We start from the raw sequence: 23008 nt of genomic DNA, 5'->3' as shown, positions 1-23008 counted from the left end.
ACTACAGTAAATAAGATTTTGAATATTATTTCTTCTTTTATGAGTCTCATGTCTACTAAATATTTTACATAGTCCACATTTATTTTTTTCTTTATTAGTCTGAATTTAATGCCAGATGCTAATTAACAGCAAGTTTCTTTGGGGAAAAGTCAATTTACAAAGAATCAAGAGCTTATCTCACAAAAAGAGTTCTCATTTTTTTAATTACTTTTGGTAAATAAAAATGAATATTGCCTATTGAATGTTTAAACCTTAATTTTGTGGTAGTGTTAAAAGAAAAAGCCATCATAACATGTAACTTCTTCCATTAAGAGATGGAAACCACTTTTCCACCCTTTGAAAATGGATTTGACCACGTGACTTGCTTTAACAAGGGCAGCATTAGCAAATATGGTTAGAGCTTTGTGAATTCATAGGAAACATATAGAATTTTGAAGGAAGTAGTAAAAATCAAAGCACTACCACTTTTACTAAAAGTGAGTTCGTTCAAATTGGAAAATGTTTTTGTGCCTTTAACTTTCTAGAAGTAGAAATCAGGTGGAGCATTTTCTTAGGTACTTTTTTTCTAAAAGGAAGAATGACTCAGAGGGCGGAACCAAGTACCATGAAGAAAAATAGACTCAGGAATTACTCACAAGAAGCAGAATTCATCTTTCATCAAGAAAAACTTTGTGTTTGCAGAGTAATGTGACCTTCTACTCCTTCTCTTTTGGAATGGGAGTATCCATGTTCAGGTCAGGTAACTTATCCTTTTAGTTTACGAGTCACTAAATCGATAGGAGATGAATCATAAGAGATACATCTATCTTAGACCAGATACTGATCATTGAGCCTGATATTGAAATTTGATGAGATTTCTTGAGAAGTCTTTGGGGAGGATGAATTATTTTGCAACTAAGAGGAATGTAAATAAATTGGACTATTGTAAATTTAAACATGAAAAAAGCCATACAATTTGTAAGCTTCCTTATGAAAAGGTAGAATCTATTTCTCCATTTCTGGTGATTTACCACAGCCAAAGGTGTATCAGCAAACATTATCCAAACAGAGGCCTAAAAGTGTTTGTACACTGAGTCTTTCCTTGTCTTCAAGTTTTGTGAATACAGTTATTGTAAAAGAAAGCCTGTGATCAGTTTGTAGGCAGACGACAGATATATAGTCCGGCCATCTCTATTTCTCCAGACAACCTCCAAGCATCTGAGCGTGGTGTTCTGGGACAAGTCAGAAACATTTTATAACTGCCGAAAACTTGCCAGTTGAAAAGTGACTCCAAATGCATGAGTGAGTCCAACTGACAATAGCGAAGAGATATACCATCTGAGACCTGACCAAATTGCTGACCCACACAATTATGAACAAATAAATATCTATTGTTTTTAAGCAATAATGTTTTTAATTCTTTTTAAAATATGGCAATAGATAATGAATAAATGTTGCCAATGGAAACACATTAACTAACTCAACAAATATTTATTTTGCACCCATTATGCACTATTTTCTACATTTGACATAGCAAAGTTTTTATCAAATAAGATTATTAAGTTTGATGCTAAAATATAAAACATTAGCATGTAAATATATAAGATATAACTTTAATTAAATGGTTTACATATTTTTAGTGTACTGGCCATCTAGCTGGAGACTGACCTACAAATATTTACCTGCTTAATATCAATACCTTCTTATTCTAGTAAGAACAAACTAATTCTCATGGGAAAATAACTTAATTGCCCAGTGTCATTACATGTGTTGTGTTACAGCTGATTTTACCTTCCTCTTCAAAGTGGAAATATGACCTATTCAGAGTATTGAATGCCTTCTCAAAAATGTGATTCAGGGATGAGTACATGATCTTATTTAAATCATTTCCAGTGAGGCTTAAGAATTGTTATCGGACTTTTATTGAAAAAGAAGTTTGTCCCTTCTTGGGTAGCTCAGATAATGAAATTGACTTTGTATTGACTGAAAATAAAATAAAATGAAAACGAAAATAATGAAACAGTCCTGTTGACAATATTTGGAAATCCTGGACCCACATTTGCTTGAAGCGTAATCAACCCCTGGGATTTTTAGGTTTGCGAACCAACTTACTCTTTGAAGTTAGTTTAAGGTGAATATACAAAATTTGCAACTGAAATAGTTCTGGCTAATAAAATAGACTAGAAAGAGAATATGTGTCACATTCTGTTTGACAGAAATCCCTTTCCAAAATAATCTCTCCTTATTTTTACTTCTATGATTTGGTTTAATATATGTATAGGTCGTTGAAATATCTTTCCAGATATACAGGAGCCTGTACAATATTCTTATGGGCAGCTTCCACCTAGTCTCCTAAACTTGTTCTCACTCCCAAACTTGTTGGCATAGGTTCTCTATTAAGAACCACTATCTTCCTAATGCCTGAGATTTGAGAACTATTAATATAACAGAAAAATCAGTATATTTTTATAATTAGAATGCTCATTTTTTACAATGCAAAGTAATAAAAATGTATGTATCTCTGAACTATTATATAAAGGATAAATATACTTTTATTTAGCTAACTAAATTTTAAGCTCTTACAGAACCTTAGCATTTACCATAACTAACCCTGATTTTAAAAATCTAACAAATAATTAAATATAACACATTATTCTACCAGTGAAATTTAATGTGGGAAACAGAAACCTCTCTGGGTATTTCAATCCAAAGGTAATTAGGTACTTAGAAAATTGCTGAAAGGACAAAGGAATAAATGTCAGAGAGCTGCACTGGATTTCTGGTTTCAGGGTCATAGCACTATAGCTGTGATACAAAGAACAGGAAAATATTTGTGGCTGCTGCTAGAAGTATGTTGCGATTACAACTGCTTCAGTTACTAGACAAAGGAATGTAGAATTTAGTAATGGAAGAAATCCTATGTCTGTTGGCACTTCATTGAAGAAAGATTTTTCCTCGCTTGTATCTTCCAAAAATCTTGCAACTGCAACTCATTAGTGGAATCTGAATTGCATCTAAGACCTTAGCTATAATCATTCTGAAAAATGTAGTTTTTAACTTCCAAACTTTATGACAGATGTGGACAATAGAACAAAAGGTTGAAATTAGTGACTTTCATTTAAGTAATTGCTCTCTGTATTAGGTTCTCCAGAAAACCAGAAACAATTGGATATAAATCAATATATCTATATGTGTATCTATATGTATATCTAAATCTTTATATGTAAATCGACTCACATGATAATGGAGACTGGCAAGTCCAAAATCTGCTGTGTTGGCCAACAGGCTGGAGACCCAGGAGGGCTCATGGTTGTGTTCTAGTTCAAATGACAACAGCCTGAAGACCTGGGAGAAACAAACATGTAGATTAAGTCTGAAGGCAGTCTGCTGATATATTACCCTTTGCTCAAGGAGGCTGGTCTATTGGTTCTAATCAGGCCTTCATCTAATTGGATGATGCTCACACACATTATGGAGGGCAATGTGCTTACTGGAAGTTCACCAATTTAAATCTTAATCTCTTTCAAAAACACCCTTCAAGTTGACATATACATTTAACCATCACACTTTCTAACTTAGGCATCAGGAAGGTGGTGGTCCTTCTTGTTGTTGAAAGTACCAGTTTATAATATGGAGCTATATTATTAAAGTAGGTAGGTTTATACTGTCTAACACAGTAGCCACTAGACACATGCAGTTATGGCTAATTGAAATGTGGCCAGTCTGTGTTGAGATGTGAATTTTAGTATTTGCACAAAAATATAAAATACCTTATTAATAATTTTTATTGATGATATTTAAAGGCATTACACTCTAGTCTACTCTTTGTCCTGGGAGTATTTAATCAGATGAAAGTTTTACTGGACATTTTTGACTTAATAACCTTTACTCCTACTGTTCGGAGTTGATAAACAGGTACTTTCTCCAACCAGGCAAGTTACAGAATTAATGAACTTTATCTTTTTCCTTCAATTATGTTTGAAAGTTGGCCAATTCTTTGCTGAATTTATTTTTCTTATAATAAATTGTAAATAGCATTCAATGACATTCAATCAACAGGTGTCTAATTTCTAATCCTTCACGTAGGTCCGCAGATCCATAGGTAATAGTGCTATGATATCAATGTGTTCCACCAAATTCACATGCTGAAACGTAATCATCAGTGCGATAATATTAAGAAGTGAGGCCTTAGGAGGTGATTAAAGTCATGTGGAACTGTCATGGATGGATTAGGGCCCTTATAAAAGGGCTTGACGGAGTGGGTTTGCTGTCTTCTGTTTTTCTGCCATGTGAGGAAACAGTGTTAAAGGCACCATCTTGGAAGCAGAGACCATGGACCTTGGCAGACACAAAACCTGCTGGCTTCTTGATCTTGGACTTCTCAGTCTCCAGAATAAATTTCTGCTCTTTATAAATTACCAAGTCACAAGTATTTTATCATAGAAGTGGGCATGGACTAATCCCAGCACTTTGGGTGGCTGAGGCAGGGAAATCATGAGGTGGGCAAATCACGAGGTCAGGAGTTCGAGACCAGCCTGACCAACATGGTGAAACCCCATCTCTGGGGTCTCTGGGGATTGGTGAAATCCTAGCTACTCAGGAGGCTGAGGCAGGAGAATCACTTGAACCCGGGAGGCAGAGGTGACAGTGAGCCAAGATCACGCCACTGCACTCCAGCCTGGGTGACAGAGCGAGACTCCATCTCAAAAAAACCAAAACAAACAAAACAAAACAAAACAAAAAAACAAAAAAAAAGACCCAATCACCCATAGGACTTCAGCATTTGCTGCCTTGTAGCACCTCACATCTCTGCTCCTTACACCAGAGTGCAATGCTCCTTGACCATCCAGCTGTGGCTCATGGGCCCAGGTGTGGCTCAGCTGCCCCTCTGAAAGGTACAGGCCATAAATCATGGTGGTATCCATGTGCTACTAACTCTGCAGCCATGAAGACATCAAGAACTATGGAAGCATTGGTACCTCTACCTAGATTTCTAAGGATGCCTCTGAGAACCTTGTCAGTGTCATACCCAAGACCTCATAATTGTCGAACCACCAGTGTGCAACACCAGCCTGAGAGAGGTGCAGGAACCCAATTTCAACTTGTGTGAGTTACTGTGTGGGCTGTGTTCAGAAAAGCTGTGGGTGTGGGGACCCCAAGGGCTTTAGGGTCCCGAGCCCTGCCTCAGTGTGTCTAAAAGGCAGGATATGGAGTCGAAAGTTTATTCTGAAGCCTCAAGATTTAATATTGTTTGCTTTGTTGGGTTTTGGACTTGAGATCTGTTATTCCCTTCTTCTTTCCTATTGCTCCTTTTTGGCATAGGAATGTCTATTCAATGCCTGTCCTACCATTGTGTTTTGGAAGTATATAACTTGTTTGATCTCACAGGTTCACATCTTAACCGAATCTCATCCATATTTGATTTGAATGAGACTCTGAACTTCAGACTTTTGAGTTATGCTAGAATTAGTTGAGACTTTGAGGCTACTGGAATAAAATAAATGTATGTTGCAGGTGTGAAGAACATTCTGTGGGCCAGGGGTGGAAAGCAATGGTCTGAAACCATCCCTCAAAATTTATAAGTTGAAATTTAATCACCAATGTAATAGTATTAAAAAGTGGGGCCTTAGGACATAATTAAGTGTCATGAGGGTGGAGACCTCATGGATGGGATTATGGCCTTTATGAAAAGTTTTGAGGGAGTAGGTTTGCTGCATTCTATACTTCTGCCATGTGAGGACACCCAAACTTTTTATAAGGGTCCTAATCCCATCAAAGAGGTCTCTATCCTATGACACTTAAGGCCCCACTTTTTAATACTATTACATTGCTGATTAAGTTTCAACTTATAAATTTTGGGAGACAGTTTCAGACCATAGCTTTCCTTCATAATAACCTGCCTCATCCTGGGGGCAGAGACCATGGCCCTCACCAAACACCAAACCTGCTGGTGCCTTGATTTTGGACTTCTCAGCCTCGAGAACTGTGAGGAAATAAATTTATATTATTTATAAATTACCTAGCTACAGTTGTTATATTAACAGCAAGAATAGACTAAGACACTATTTTGTCAATTACTTTGGCAGTGCTATAAAATGAATCCGTATCCTGCCAAACTCTGATTTCAGTTTCCTCAACTCCTCACATCCAACTGCTAAGTCAGTATAGGAATTCCCCCTTATATTAGCTTGTTTTTGTGCTGCTGATAAAGACATACCTGAGACTGGGCAATTTACAAAAGAAAGAGGTTTAATGATTTACAGTTCCACATGTCTAGGGAGGCCTCACAATTATGGTGGAAGGCAAGTTGGAGGAAGTCACATCTTACGTGGATGGCGGCAGGCAAAGAGAGAGAGCTTGTGCAGGGAAACTCTTCTTTATAAAGCCATCAGATCTCATGAGACTTATTCACTATCACAAGAACAGCAAGGGAAAGAGCTGCCGCCATGATTCAATTACCTCACACTGGGTCCCTCCCACAACACATGGGAATTCAAAATGAGATTTGTGTGGGGACACAGCCAAACCATATCACCCCTTATCCATGGGATATATGTTCCAAGACCCCACTGGATGCCTGAAAATGTAGATAGTACAAAACCCTGTATATACTATGTTTTTTCCTATACATACATACTTATGATAAAGTTTAATTTATCACTTAGGTGTAGTAAGAGATTAACAACAATAACTAATAATAAAATAGAGCAATTATAACAATGTACCGCAATAAATGTTATGTGTATGTGGTATCTTTCTCTCTCAATATCTTATTGTACTGTACTTAACCTATTTTCACACCCCAGTTGACCATAGGTAACTAAAACCTCTGAAAGTGAAACCATGGGTGGATAAAGGCAAGCCATTGTACCACAGAAGCATCCTATTTGTGCCATAACAAAGAGACCTCAAGTCTCACTACTTAACACCAAAACTGTTTGCTTCTTGATCATGTAGGGTAGCTTTATATTCACATAACTCTCTGGTACGTTGTCCTTCATGTAGCAACTTAGTGATATAAACTGCTTCTTTTTGGTGCCTCCATTTTTCAATACAAGACCCTCATGAATGGACAGAGAAAACATCCAAACTTTTTTCTCTGGAAATTAAATGCTCATCCTGGAAGTGACACAACGTACTTAGGTCTACACCCCACTGGCCAGTGCCCATTGGCCAGAAATAGGCCCCAACCAGCAGTAAGGAAGCTACATGTAGGGAACTCCATGAAATATTTGGAAGACATATGTCACACCAGTATACTCCTTCACCCAGTGATTTCAATTCTGAGACTGGATCCCAAGGAAATAAGAGAGTTTTAATCAAAGATATATAAATAAGGATACATTACATGGTTACTTATAATAATCATCTAAAAAAATTAAAACTCACAAACTACAAACAATGTAACTATTAAACAACCACAAATAAAAAATAAACTATATTATGAGAAACTCTTCACAGAGCACTGTGTATCCAATAAAATTGCATTTATAAAAACAACTGAAAAGTGTTTGCTACATGTATGTTATATAACACTGTTGGTGATTAGGAACATTAATAAATAAGGCAAAGCAATCAATGAGTGCACACTGTGTTCCAGGCAGTGTTCTAAGAACTTTACACTATTGGCTCATTTAAGCATTTAAAAACAAAAATCTTATTTTATACAAGAGGGAACTGAGGAAGGGAAAGCCCACAAAGCGAAAAACTGCTAAGAATAGAAATGAATAAAGATAGATTGCAAAAATGTTCTCCCATTCTGTAGGTTGCCTGTTCACTCTGATGGTAGTTTCTTTTGCTGTGCAAAAGCTCTTTTGTTTAATTAGATCCGATTTGTCAATTTTGGCTTTTGTTGCCATTGCTTTTGGTGTTTTGGACATGAAGTCCTTGCCCATTCCTATGTCCTGAATGGTATCGCCTAGGTTTTCTTCTAGGGTTTTTATATGCAGCCATAAAAAATGATGAGTTCATGTCCTTTGTAGGGACATGGATGAAGCTGGAAACCATCATTCTTAGCAAACTATTGCAAGGACAAAAAACCAAACACTGTGTGTTCTCACTCATAGGTGGGAATTGAACAATGAGAACACTTGGACACAGGAAGGGGAACATCGCACACCGGGGCCTGTCGTGGGGTGGGGGGAGAGGGGAGGGATAGCATTAGGAGATATACGTAATGTAAATGACGAGTTAATGAGTGCAGCACACCAACATGGCACATGTATACATATGTAACAAACCTGCACGTTGTGCACATGTACCCTAGAACTTAAAGTATAATTAAAAAAAAAAGAAAAAAAAGATATAAATAAGGTGAGGAGGAAAAGAACAGCCAACTATATGCACGTAGGGGACTAGGATATACAGTCACTAAAATTGAAGGGAAATATCAGTTACAGAGATTCTGGAGTTATGTAAATGAATTTCATAGTTAATTTCATTTACCTATAATTGCCTTCAGGTTTTTCTTTTCTCTCTCATATTTTTTCTCTTCATAAAAACCAGAAAAGTTATTTTATGTCAAATTAATGGATTAATTCTTTGAAAATAAAAACTATTGATATTTGTGTTATGTTATTAGGCATAAACAAATGTCTGAAACAAAGAAGAATTTAAAAATTCACATTTTGTTAAACATATTTGTGCATTATTAACCAAACACAACTGCAGTGTCTGTCATTACTAGCAAAATACAGTACATTCTCTGTGGGCAAAAATAATAGGGGTATTCAAAAATATTTTTATTGAGGAATATGCAGGTCTAATCATGGTTATTAGCATTACTCTTATTCAACATGGAGTGAGACTCTTCAAAGGGATGTGTGTGTGTGTGTGTGTGTCTGTGTGTGTCTGTGTGTGTGTTTTGAGATAGGACCTTGCTGTTTCTCCCAAACTGGAGTGCAGTGGCTCAATCCCAGCTCACTGCAGCTTCAACCACCCCATCTCAAGAGGATCCTCCCACCTAAGCCCTTCAAGTAGCTGGGACTATAGACATGCGCCACCACACCTGGCAAATTTTTGTATTTTTATAGAGCAGAGTTTCATCATGTTGCCCGGGATGGTATCAAACTCCTTAGTTTAAGTGATCTGCCTGCCTCAGCCTCCCAAAGAGCTGGGATTACAAGTGTGATTCACCGTGTCCAGCCCAAATATGTTTTTAACATAAATTTATCTGACAAAAGATCTGATTTTTATAGACACATTATATATTCATGCACTGCATCATGATGCATTAGTCAATGATGAGCTGCCTATATGACAGTGCTCCCATAAGATTATAAAAAAGTTGAAAAATTCGTATCACCTAGTGACATCACAGTCATTGTAACTGCCTAGGGCAACACATTGCTGATGTGTTTGTGGTAATGCTGGTGTAAACAAACCTGCTGCTCTGCCAGTCATTTAAAAAGCCAAAAAAAAATTTAAAACCATAGGAAAAGCTTATAAAAGAGGAATTAAACAAAATATTTTTGGACAGCTGTACAATGTGTGTTTTAAGCTAAATGTTATTACAAAATAGTCAAAAAGTTAAAAAATTAAAAGCATATAAAGAAAACTATTCCAGTATGCTAAAGTTTATTTATTATTACAGAAATAATATTAATTTTATAAATTTAGTGTAGCCTAAGTTTAAGCGTTTATAAAATCTGAAGTAGTGTACAGTAATATCATAGGCCTTCACACTCACTCACCATTCACTCGCTGACTCACCCAGAACAACCGTAGTCCTGCAAGGTCCATTCATGGTAAGTGCCATAAAAGGTGTGCAAGTTTAGACAATCTTTTATACCTTATTTTTACTGTACATGTTCTATGTTTAGATCTGTTTAGATACAGAAATATATAACATTGTTTTACAACTGCCTATAGTATTCAGTATAGTAACAAGCTGTACAGATTTGTAGCCTAGAAGCAATAGACTATAACATATAACTTAAGTGTGTAGCAGACTATACCATCTAGGTTTGTGTAATAAGTGTACTCTATGATGTTTGCACAAATAGGAAATCTTTCTAACAACACTTTTCTCACAAGATATCCACATCATTAAACAATACATGACTGCATTATGAATCACCTGGGTACTGGGCATATGTGGATGTTTTAGAAAGTTAGAGACTATTATTCTCTATTTTTTTTATTATACTTTAAGTTCTGGGATACCTGTGCAGAACTTGCAGGTTTGTTACATAGCTATACACGTGCCATGGTGGTTTGCTGCACCCATCAACCCATCATCTACATTAGGTATTTCTCCTAATGCTGTCCCTCCCCTAGCTCCCCACCCCTCCAACAGGCCCCGGTGTATGATGTTCACCTCCCTGTGTCCATGTGTTCTCGCTGTTCTACTCCCACTTATGAGTGAGAACATGGGGTGTTAGGTTTTCTGTTGCTGTGTTAATTTGCTGAGAATGATGTTTTCCAGCTTCATTCATGTCCCTGCAAAGGACATGAACTCATCCTTTTTATGGCCGCATAGTATTCCATGGTGTATATGTGCCAGATTTTCTTCAGTCTATCATTGATAGGCATTTGGGCTGGTTTCAAGTCTTTGCTATTGTGAATAGCGTTGCAATAAATATAAAGACACATGCACACATATGTTTATTGGAGACTATTATTCTTAGAGGGTGTAATAGTGAAGGAATATTTTGGTTGCAAATTTTAAAACTCTTGAAATTGTTAAAAAAAAAAAAAAAAGGAGATTTACAGGTCTCATTTAATTGGAAGGAAATGCAGAGCAAACATGGACTCCAGGGCAGGTTTGTTTCAGTTGCATGATGAAGTCAGCAAGGACCAATTCCCTCACATCATTTTCAGCTTTCAGAGGCCAAAGTATTTGTAAAGCTGGCACCCCCTTGTGAACCCTGGTAGAAGTGTCATGTCCTTATCCTACTTCCTTCCTCATCTTCCCTGGATAAGAGAAAAAGGGTCATTTCTTAATGACCCTTAAATATTCTTAAAATATTTTTCATAAAATGGAAGAAATTTATTCTCCAAAGGACCTAAGGAAATGTTTTCTCCCATCTGTTGCCATCACTTCCATGCTCCTGAATAAATCTCTATGCTGATTGGCCCATCCCTAAGACATTCACGACGGTATGAGAGTCAGGATGACTGTGATTGGCTTAGATTCTGCAGCTCCTGCCTCTGGAACTGAGGTTAATTCTCCAAGATGCCTGAATGCAGCACGAGGTGAACAAAGTGGAGCCCATGTGGCAGCGTCAGTCACAAGGTCAGCTAGAAACGGGCTCTAGTCAAAGTCCTAAGCCCAAACGTTTATCTATAATTGACCATTCTTTAATACCTGAAATCCATTTATAATTGATAACCTGTTAAAATGCAATGCTTTGTTTGCTTTCAGGCAGCTATATGAACTTAAGGAACTTGCTTAACATCTCAAAAGCCTACCCTAGACTTTCCCTGGAAATCCATTTCAGAGATAGGGATTCCATAGCACTCTGGCAGTAGCTCAAAATGATGTCCTTATATAACAATAAGAGCCAGAGGACAGCATTTCCACAGCAGGAGACATTTAAAGAAGTGTAGGCGAGAAACACAATCCCCGATCTAATAGTTTTGGTGCCCCAAGAAAAATAATAAACCCAGAGCAAAAACTGAAGGGGTAGAGAAAAAAAAAAAGACAGATGGAAGATGCCAAATACATCATTTGCCAACTTTTTATTTTCCCCCTAAAGTTGGCTCAGGTCCATGTTTACAGAAAACGAACAGTAATTGATGGTAACCATGGTTCCTTCATGTGACATGGTCGCTGGGTAGGATTATATCTTTTGAGTATTTAATCAAATAATGGCCACAATCATATTCATAACACTCCTTCAAGATAAATTTATTTCCCCTGTAGCCTCCAAATGATGAGACAGAGAAAGGCAGGAGGTGGGGGAAAGGCAGAAATGATTCCTAAAGTACTCTTCTGCAAAGGAAATGAGTAAATAAATCCATATGCCTCCAGATTGGTGTGGATTTTTTAAGTCAAATTGCATAAAAGTCCAAAAATTGGGTGGGATTACCTCTAAATTCTGTTTCTCTCTCCTCTCAGGAGTGGGTGCTTGGATCATGAATATACCCTGGAATACTTCTAGCTGTTCTGTCTTTTGAAGCACCTTGCTTTGAGGAAATGGGACAGGGAAAGCTTTCCTAGTGGATGCTAACCCTCTAAAAAACAGGCACTGAGACAGTTAAAAGCCAGTTACAGAAACCTCAAAGAATTTTTCAGCTATGATAAATGCAAGGGAGTTGGATTTATATGTGCAGAAATGAACATTTTGGCAGCATCACAGAAATTCCTATCACTCTACACAAATATTGCTCTGTGCATCTGTGTGTCTAGTGAGTATTCAGAATCATCAAAATGATTGCAAGAGGACTGTAAGCAATGTGCTGAATGCTTTGTTCAGGAGGCAGTCCACTCATTACTTTTGAAATTCTTACTCAAAAACTGGTTTTAATCCTGTAAAAATAAAAAAAATGACAATAATTGCGTAAATGACTCAAACACAGTCAAAAATTGGAAAATAAAAAATACCTTAGATTAGGTGTATAAGTCAGGATAGGTTAAGTTGTTCTGCAATATAAAAAATGAAAAACAAATCAAAACCAAAAAAGCACCTAATCTCAATGCCTTAAAACGACCTAAGTTTATTTCATATTTATTCTCTCTGACCATTGCAGGCCAGCTGGGTAGTTGCAGTTTAGATCACCTTCACTCAGGACCTCGGCATGCAGGAGTCTTCACCTTTATGCTGCACAGTCACCAAAGCAGACCAAAGTAAATGTGGCAAACTACAGACTGACTCTTGAAACATTAGCTTAGAAATGACAAACATCAGGCCGGGCACGGTGCCTCACGCCTGTAATCCCAGCACTTTGGGAGGCTGAGGCGGGCAGATCACGAGGTCAGGAGATCGAGACCATCCTGGCGAACACGGTGAAACCCCATCTCTACTAAAAATACAAAAAATTAGCTGGGCGTGGTGGCGGGCGCCTGTAGTCCCAGCTACTTGGGAGGCTGAGGCAGGAGAATGGCATGAACCCGGGAGGTGGAGCTTGCAGTGAGCCAAGATAGCACCACCACTGCACTCTGGCCTGGGCAAAAGAGCAAGACTCCGTCTCAAAAAAAAAAAAAAAAGAAAAGAAATGACAAACATCACTTCCGCTGACATCCTATTGCCAATATGAGACACATGGCTGCCTCTGACTTCAAGTAAGGCAGGAAAATACATCCATCTCAGATTTCCATAAGGAGAACTGGACCTTTTTACGGCAGAGCACTAACAACCACTCTTTTAAGCAAAACAGATCTTGCTTACTGAAAATATAAAAACATTCTGGTTTCTGGAAAAGAGTCTTTTAGGATGCTACTGGAAACCTTTACTTTTTACACCATGGTATCCAATTTAGTTACAGTCATGCATTGTTGCTTAAGCACAGAGCTAAGTTCTGAGAAACGTGCAGTTAGGTGATTTCATCGTTGTGCAAACACCATAGTGTTTACTTACATAAACCTAGACGATATAGCCTACTACATACCTAGGCTATACAGTATGGCCTATTGCTCCTAGGCCAAAAACCTAAACAGTATGTGATTGTACTGAATATTGTAGGCATGAGTAACATAGTGGGATGTATTATATATCTAAACAGATCTAAATATAGAACAGGAACAGTAAAAATATGATATAAAAGATTTTTTAAAACATCTTTTGTTCAGGGACATATGCCAAAGAACCCTTGGAAACTTCTACCCTAGCAACGAGATTCTGGGCTCTAGGCAATGTAACAAATATTTCTTCAATTGTGGGAAAAAGAAAGATGAGTGGGCTAACATGGCCTATTTCTAGGAGGTAATTAAAATAACTAGTAGCAAAGGGACAAAATACAGGCCAGAAAAAAAATCCACCTCTCCGCATACATCCATGTGCTTTCCTAGTATTTTCCAGTCGATTTGCTATTAAAGAGACTTGTTCTCACCAATTATCTGAGTGAACAAGAAAGGTATCTAGGAAAAATGTTCTAGGCAGGGGAAACAGCAGTGGCCTTAAAAAGAGAGTGAGCCTGGTACGTTCAAGGAGCAGAGTGTGCAAAGGAGATAAAGTAGGAGTTGACAGAGAGTAACCAAGGATACACCGTGGAGGGGCACATAAGGCTTCTGCAATAATTTTGTCTTTTGTTCTGAACTGGAGAAGTACTCCAGAGAAATGTTAAAGGGATGACTTTGGCAGCTGTGTTGAGAATAACCTGTAGGAAGGCAGACGAGGAAGCTTTTGCATGGCTCAAATGTGCAATGCAGTGGCTTGGCCTCGGGTAGTGGAGAGGTGGTCAGATTCTGGATGTATTTGGAAGGTAAACCCAGCACAGCTTTCTTCCAAACTAGGCGTGGGGCATGAGGAAAAGGAAAGAAAAAAGTAAGGTTCCAAGTGTTCACCCTAAATGCTGGTAAGAATGGACTTGTCACAAATTGAGATGAAGAAGTTTGCAGAAGGAGCAGATTTGGGCAGAGAGAGTTGTCTTCTCTCTTCAGATTTCATTTGTTTATTTATTCATAAATAAACAGGATCTGGCCAAGAGGAGGGTGAGGACTGAAAAACTACTTATCAGATACTGAGCTTATTACCTGGGTAAATAATCTGTATGTCAAATTCCTGCAAGACACAATTTATCTATACAACAAACCTGCACATGTACCCCTGAACCTAAAATAAAAGCTTAAAAAAATCAATAAATAGAAATAAAATACTTGTGTTTGCTACTTCGTGAAACTTGGAAATTGAAAATGCCTGCCTCTGTCAAGCATAGCATTTCCAAATTTCTGATAGATATTAATCTTTGAATTTGGAAACAACAAATAAGAATTGGCCAGGTTCGGTGGCTCATGCCTGTAATCGCAGCACTTTTGGGCACTGAGTTCAGTGGATCTCTTGAGGCCAGGAGTTTGAGATCAGCCGGGCCAACATGGTGAAACCCGGTCTCTCCTAAAAATAATAATAATAATAGTAATAATAATAGCCAGGAGTGGTGGCACACACCTGTAGTCCCAGCTACTCGGGAGGCTGAGGCAAAATAATTGCTTAAAGCCAGGAGGGGGAGGTTGCAGTGAGCGGAGATGGTACCACTGCACTCCAGCCTGTTCCGTTATTAGTCTGTTTTCGCACCACTGTAAAGAAATACCTGAGACTGAGTAATTTATAAAGGAATTTGGTTTAATTGACTCAAAGTTCTGCATGGCTGGGGAGGCTTCAGGAAGCTTACAATGATGGCAGAAGGGAAAGGAGGCACCTTCGTCACAAGTTGTTGGGAAAGAGAAGAGTGTAGGAGGAACTGCCAAACACTTATAAAACCATCCGATCTCGTGAGAACTCACTGACTGTCATGAAAACAGCATGGGAGAAACTGCCCCCGTAAGCCAATCACCTCCCTCCCTCACATGTGGGAATTACAATTCAGGATGAGATTTGGGTGGAGAAAAAGAGACAAACCATATCAGAGACTCTGTCTCAAAAATAAAACAACAACAACAACAAAAAAGAAATTAGAATTCCTGGGAATTTGTAGAAATTCTCAAAATCAGGTTCTTTTACATTTTTTTCAAAGCACTTTATGCATTTTCAGTAATAATAAGTGACTATAAAAATAAACAGTGAATCTTTTTTCAGCAGTAGATTTACATTATTTCATAAATTTTTTTTTGCAAAATAAAATGGATGTAATAATAAGTGTATGGTTTATTATTACCAGTATTAATATATTGTGACAACATTTATATTTCAATAATATGTACAAATGTTCTCAGCTTGATATATATATTTCATAATAGGAAAACTAAAGGAAGGAGAATGAACACAAAAGTAAGTATCAAATAAAATAATTTAAAGCTAAAGGACAACATAAATTACTTAATATTAATAAATTATCATTCTAAAATGAAATTTTACAACACTCAAGACATTAAATACCCTATTCAATATAAATACTCTTTTTTGTGACAAATATCTCAGATGTAGAAAAATTTATTTCCTTCTGAATTGAAATTGGTCATATTTTAGAAAGCTTATTCCTGAGTTTCTCCAGGTTAGCTGTAAGGATGTATAGTGCTTTAGAACACATTTAATTCCTTATTAATAAAAACGTTTTGTCCACTTGCCCCAATTTTCATTTGCTGTTGAAATTATTATTGCTTTGCAATATTAAAACAGATTCTAAATCAGTTTCTGATTTCATGTCAGAGTCTTCTACAACAACATTCAGGTTTTCTTTCCTTGCGTTAATTCTGATAAAGTGTTTACCAGGAACTGTAACCTAGGTAATATTCAAACACTGAAAAAATGCCACTGAACATTAATAAGCACTATGTAAATAACGTTAAGATTCCAATTTCCTATCAATGTTAAGAAAATCATGCTTTGAAATTGGCAATTAAAAATGTATTTTGCTTTCTAAACTTGTTATTTCTTAGAACAACACTCATAGGGTGGGTATAAAGTATACAGTACATATAAGCTTATTTCTGTTTGTTGGAATGGCTCACCATTAGCAATGGACAGGGCCATGTACACAAACTGATAACATGGGAGCAGCGAAACGTCATACTGATCAATTTATCATGACACCTTCTCTTCTAAATGTTCTGTCCTGCTTCTCAGAAATGTTGACCTCAATCTTTGACTCTGTGTGTTGGTGTTCCCTGCCCTGGCTTTCAAGTCAGTGTTTTCTGTAAGATTAGTCACATTTCAATGGTGCGTGTTATGCTTCAATTCTCACAGGGGATTTATAACACTTTTCTCAGATTTGTTGAAAGATTTTTCATGAGATTCAGGATTTAGAAAATCATAAATTTCCCAGTAAATATGAAGAAGGAAATCCTCCATGGAAACACTATCCAAATGAGATAAGAGAAGTTGTAACTGGATTTCCAACTGTCGATTTTATCATGTATAAAAGAACGTAGTTACCTAAATCAGTGAGAGAAATAGTAAGGATGGATACATGAAATATGACATTAGATCTATGTTTTTCAAAGTAGGGTTCCATATCAGCAACTTCAGCATCACCTTGGAACTTAGTAAAAATGCACATTTCTGGGCATCTACCCAGACCTATGGAAGCAGAAAACTCTGAGTATGGAGCCTCGTAATCTGTGTTTCAACAAGTCCCACAGGCGATTTTGATGCACATTGAAGTTTGAAGGTACCTTTATTAGATTTTCTTTCTTGTGAGTGCCACTCCACAGAGGAGTTGTCTTGTCTCTTCAAATTTCATTCGTTTATTTATTCATTATTCTTAAAGTAATTTAAGGAAACACTCCCTCCCCTAGAGCAGAGGCTTGAGAAACCAGAGTGGGTAATATCTGATAATTGCTACATGTGATTTTCTGAGATAAACTAAAATATTTTAGGCTGTTTTCACTACTTAGTAGTCTCAATCTTTCACTAGATGCATGACAATAGCAAAAATAAATACAATTATTTTTGGAGCATTTATCTGTAATATTTGGTGAATAATTTCTCTAAAACAAGACCCATATACCATAATTGTTTCTAAAATATCCCTTTACCAATCATTGTGTTTTTAGTAATACTATTAAGTTTTTTAGTAGTTGAGTTGAAATGCAACAAATACTTACTGCATGCTTAAGCATTGCATAAAGTGTTGTAGTGTCTCCAGATATGAGCAAGCCATAATTGCTTCCCTCAAACACATTGTGGGATGGTATAGTAACGGAGAAACACCAATTACCAACTAAAATACAAAAGAGAAGGAGATGAAATTGATGATAGGAGAATACATGGCATACAAGAAATATGTATACACACATATATATGCTTATGCATATATATGTATGTACATCTATAACTATACATACACACATGTGTGTATGTATCTGTTTATCATCTATCTACACTTAAAGATGCACATTTTTAGTTGTTTGGAAAGTTTCACTAATCAGCATGAGTCGTTCCCTGATCTGTTACAGTACATTTCATTTCCTGGGGTAACAGTGTAAGGGTACTATTTAGTGAAGAGGTCAGATGAATAACTCTTAGACTGGATGCTTACAAGGAAATGGTTAGAGTACAGGGTAGCTTAACCCTCAATTTTATCCATTTCAGTGGTTTCCACAGATGCACACAAGAGACACTGATGCTTCTCTTGAGAACAACTGACAACTGTATAGCTCAGTTGGTATTAATCACTGTGAATAGTTGTGGCCAAAGTTGAGGATTAAAGTTACACGGCAAATATAGTTCTGATATTGGGTTGTCTATATCAGTACATGTTACAGAAACCACTGCTCTGAGGATGGCAGCAACTTGATAGGGAAGATAAAACTCAAGGAAATAAAGGGGAAAAAAACCCGTTTTCCCCAAACTGAATGCATTTTATTTCCTTAAGTTCACTTCATCACAATGTATGCAGCTTATTCTTTAAAAATTACAAAGAGCTTCTTTGGGTACATTTGGAAAGAACAGCTCAAGGAATTTTGTCCTTCACATAAATCCATCCCAATATTTGCTGATTTCAACTCCCTCAAATCAATTTGTTCGTAAATAAGCTTGCTGCATTTATGATTGTTTTTGCTGTCATTCCTCCAGCACAGAAAAACTACTTGTCTCAAGACTATGCATGGTGGCTCATTCCTGTAATTCCAGCACTTCGGGAGGCCAAGGTGGGCAGATCACGAAATCAAGAGATCGAGACCATCCTGGCCAACATGGTGAAACTCCATTTCTACTAAAAATACAAAATTTAACTGGGCATGGTGGTGCGCACCTATAGTCCTAGCTACTTGGGAAACTGAGGCAGGATGATGGCTTGAACCTGGGAGGCAGAGGTTGCAGTGAGCCAAGATCGTTCCACTGCACTCAAGCCTGGCAACAGAGCGAGACTCTCCGCAAAAAACAAAACAAAACAAAAAAAAAACACCAAAAAACGTATCGTTATATATGCAAACCCTGGATTCAAGACAGAACTAGTACCAACAACAACCAACCAATCAAAAATGTGGAGAAAGGTGGTTGAAAGAAGGCTTTCTAATCTATCTAATTTTGGGATGTTGCTTCTTTGAAAGAAATAAAAATATATACACATACATATATACATTTGTATCAATATCAAATGATATATAATTGATAGTTTGGTGTATAAAATATGTGCCTCTCTACCACCCCTGACATGGACTCCCTGGTGGACTTCTGGTCATCTACTGGGATAATTTAGTCCCTTCTCAGTGCAGCCTTCTCTGTAAACCAAATCCCTTGGTGCTACCTTTACATATCTTTTTGAAAGGATTTACCAAGTAAAGAAACATTTGTTATTGTAGATCAGGAGTGTTTTGAAGCAGAGACTCATCTTGTTTATCATTTGACCCCCTAGATTAGGAATTGGAATACCATGGTCTGCTGTCATTTTGTCTACCCTATGAGCCAAAAATTGTTTTGAAAGTTTGAAATGGTTGAAAAACAATAAAACAAAAGAAGAATAACTTATGACACAGGAAAATTGTATAAAGTTCACTATTTGGTCTTCATTAATAATCTTTTATTGGTACACATCCATGCTCTTTTGTTTACATATCATCTATGGACACTTTTATAGTTGCAACCGAGATTGTATGACCTGTATATTACAAAGCAATAGCTCTCAACCACGGCTAAATTTGCTTCTAGGTCTTAAGGAACGTTTGACAAAATCTGGAGAGATTTCTGGTTGTTGAAACTATAAGAGGTGAATACTACTGTACTCTTATGGGAAGAGACTTGGATACTGCTAAGATTCATAGAGTGATCAATACAGCTCTCCCCAGTAAATAATTATCTCATACAAAATGTCAGTAGCGCTGAGGTTGATAACTCTGGGCCTTCAATGCTTACTATATGAACCTTTACAGAAAATGTTGGCTACAGCTTGCCCTAGATCTTAACAAAAACTAAGGGGATCGAAAGTTTTTTCTGGTAATTATAAGATATGCATGCTCAGCTTTAGATACACACATTAAAAAATATAAGTAATTAAAAACTCAGACAATTGTCCTGAACTTATTTATAGGTTAAATGTGTGTAAATATTTACCAGTTTAGGGGACTCACCTGATCTAAGTCAAACATTCCAATCTGTACTCAATAACTTAAAAACAAACACATAAAAAACCAAAAAACAAAAAAAGAAACCTCAAAAAGCGATGTACTTAAAATTGTGAAAACAGAAACACAAACACGTAAACATAAAATCAATTGTTTATTTTATGACATATGTGCCAAAGAAATGGGCAATTCTATTTTTTTAGTTTCAACTTGGTGGCTGTGATTTAACAAGGAGGATAAATGAGGCACCTCCAGTATCCAGGGAATCCTGTGTCTCATACTTCAACAGTTATTTTAGAGTGCACCAGCCTATTTCTTAGTCTTTAAGCCAGACACTAACATTATATAAAAATAACACAAAAGAGACTTTCAATAGAAACTAGTCTTCAATGGTTAAAAGACAGAGTAATAGGAACCATGATTGGGGATTTCCTTTCTGATTTATAAGAATCTCATATCAAGTCACCTGTTAAAAATATATACCTATAATGTATGGTTAAACTTATTGTCAACTGCATTCTGTTTTTACTTGACCTTTTAACCCTGCTTTTTGATTTTAAGCAAAAGCACAGGAAGTATTTCCTTCCATGTTAGAAGATAGGAATGAGAGAAGGTGTTCTTTCCCCTTGTCCATTAGATCATGCTAATCTCATATTTTTCCTATTTAGAAACCTGACTTCGAGTTAATATATACCATTCTAACGTGTCAAAGATGTTAATTTTTAATTTAAAACACTTGTCTTAATAAGAATGGTTGAGATCATGTTAGCTTTATTGTGATAGCTGAACAGTCCCTTACCAAGTGCCTAATGAAAAGAAACAGTGATTTTGCAGCTTTGTCTCATTTGAAGAAACAATAATAAGAAGTGGCCCTGGAAAAATTGATAGCAGATTCTACATTTTATGTAGTGTTCTGGTTTCAACATAGTGCAGAGTCAGAGAGAATAAAGGAGACTATAGTGCATGCAACTGTTTCTAAGTCATTGAGAATTAAGATTAAGTTGCTGGTTCTGGAATCAGAAAAACCTTGGTTTGAATATCATCTTTGACCCTTTTAAGCTGTGTGATCTTATGAAGTTATTCAACTGCTCTGTTTTCTTATTAGTAAAATGAAGATAATAATAGTATACACTTTATGGTTTTGGAGATGGCTAAATGGCATATGTACTTAGAATGTTCAATGTATGGTAACTAATTATAATAACACAGATGTCATATGGGGTACCCCTGCCCTCCAGAGAGCTCATTAAACTTGTCTGAAACTCCAATCCATGACTTGTGATGTTCCAAAATCTTTCCCATGATTTCAGCCAAGTCTGTGGATCTTGTTTCAAGCTTCCCTGTACCCTCAAGCTCTTGCATTCCAGTGGGACATATCAGTTTTCCTTGGCAATACTGTACCTTGATGTTAAACTCTTGTGTGTTCACATCCAAGACTTTGCTCGTATGATGTACTTAGTTTAAAAAATTATTTTGTAAACTTTGGGGTTAATATAGGAGCATTTACATATTAAAACCTTCTGCCACTGGGAATCATTTTCTCTTCTCTGTCCACTTGCTTTTTTTTTTCTTCTTTATTCCTTTCCTTCCTATTTTGTTCAAGTTCTTCCCCCTTTTTCCTGTCCTTTACTTTCTTGCCTCCTCCTCCTTTTCCTCTTCCTCCTTCTCCTTTTCTTCTTGCCTCTGTCCCCTTCTCATTCCTCCTTTCCCTGATTTTTCTGCACTTCACATCCATACCCAAACCCCATTTCAAATTCCTCTGCCTTCATAATGAGAGTAGTTTCCCCTTTCTTTAAGACTTTTCACACTAGCCCTTGAGGGGAGGGAAGCATTATTTGCTCAGTTTGTAACATATGCATTTTTTTCCTACTAATCTAGCTTTCTCCCCAATAGAAATCCAGATTTGGCTTTTTAGAAAAAAAATTGCCATCTTATTACATAATTTCTTCATTCTCTGTGCTTCTCCATCTGATGACCTCTACTCTCTTCACTGTGAATGCTGAGGGAGCATTCATCTCCAAAGGCTCCATTTAGCAGATCTTCTCTTCTATCTTTGAAGGCCCTTAATGCTCTGCCTGCACTTTTCTTATGAATTTTAGTTCCTCCTGCCTTGTGTTGTGGCGATCTGTGACTATTACATTTTCTATCCCTCTTTTAAGGGCTGGAAGTAGGCCTGGAACCACCCCTTAAACATAAAGATAGCCAAAAACCATAATCCATAGAAAAGAAGAGCATGGACTTTAGCTGTGACTGTCCTAGGGTCTGCTTCATGGTCTTGGTTGTGTGTATCAGTCAGAGTTGAGACAAGCGAGTAAAGCCACAGTGAGTACTTGGGAGTGAGGAATTATTATAGGAATTGGACCTCGAGCCAATGTGGGAAACATTAGGGAAGTAAAAGTCTAGAAGAGGAGTTCAAAAAGTCAGAGAAAGTAACACTCACCACTCTTCCTGAAGCAGTGGTATAGTTCAGCAAGCCAGCGTTTTCAGGGAATTATAAAAAGCCAAGCAATTCAAGATACCTATTGGGGACCAAAGAAAAGGGATTTGTGGAGAGGTCTATGGAGAGCTGTTGTATTTGTGTAGTTTCTCCCTCTGCTGTGTGAAGCCAGCTCTCTGGTGGTGGGCCTGGGTCGTTATTGATCAGCAGGTCAGCCTTCTGGAAGATGAGATATACCTAGAGCACAGGAGAGCAAAAGCAATCTTCTCCTGTTTATCATGGTATCTAATTGCAACCACCTTCTAGGGGAAACGAACGACTGTTGTTTTGCTTCCACCTTCTATATCTCGTGCAAGTACCATTTTGACCAATGTTAACCTGGAGCCATACAAGAAAAGAAATTATGGGGAGCACAATTTTCGGCTTTATCCATGCTGATACAGCACAAAACCAACATGGTTATGTTTCTTAACCTCTCTGAGCTTCAGTTTCCT

At 37.1% G+C, this 23008-nt stretch overlaps 1 long non-coding RNA gene across 1 annotated transcript, besides 1 other annotated feature; it reads right to left on the bottom strand.

Annotated features, from left to right (window-relative positions):
* Positions 285-1484: an enhancer, noted in NCBI's record as "CDK7 strongly-dependent group 2 enhancer chr4:20029655-20030854 (GRCh37/hg19 assembly coordinates)". NCBI's record gives its function as "activates an origin of replication core promoter dependent on BRD2, BRD4, P300/CBP, MED14 and CDK7 cofactors, with strong dependence on CDK7, by STARR-seq in HCT116 cells {active_cell/tissue: HCT116}" and the evidence as "EXISTENCE:reporter gene assay evidence [ECO:0000049][PMID:35650434]".
* On the bottom strand, positions 3200-22599 carry LOC105374513 (uncharacterized). Its single transcript, XR_925449.2, has 3 exons — positions 22518-22599; positions 17621-17736; positions 3200-3324 (listed from the first exon to the last, which is right to left on the bottom strand). It is a non-coding gene; the product is annotated as an uncharacterized LOC105374513 (long non-coding RNA).
* Positions 22600-23008: the final 409 nt, after the last annotated feature.

Source organism: Homo sapiens, chromosome 4 (genome assembly GCF_000001405.40).
Source record: "Homo sapiens chromosome 4, GRCh38.p14 Primary Assembly".
NCBI lineage: Eukaryota > Metazoa > Chordata > Mammalia > Primates > Hominidae > Homo > Homo sapiens.
Note: the sequence above shows the minus strand (reverse complement) of the source record. Positions and strands in the feature narration are given on the sequence as shown.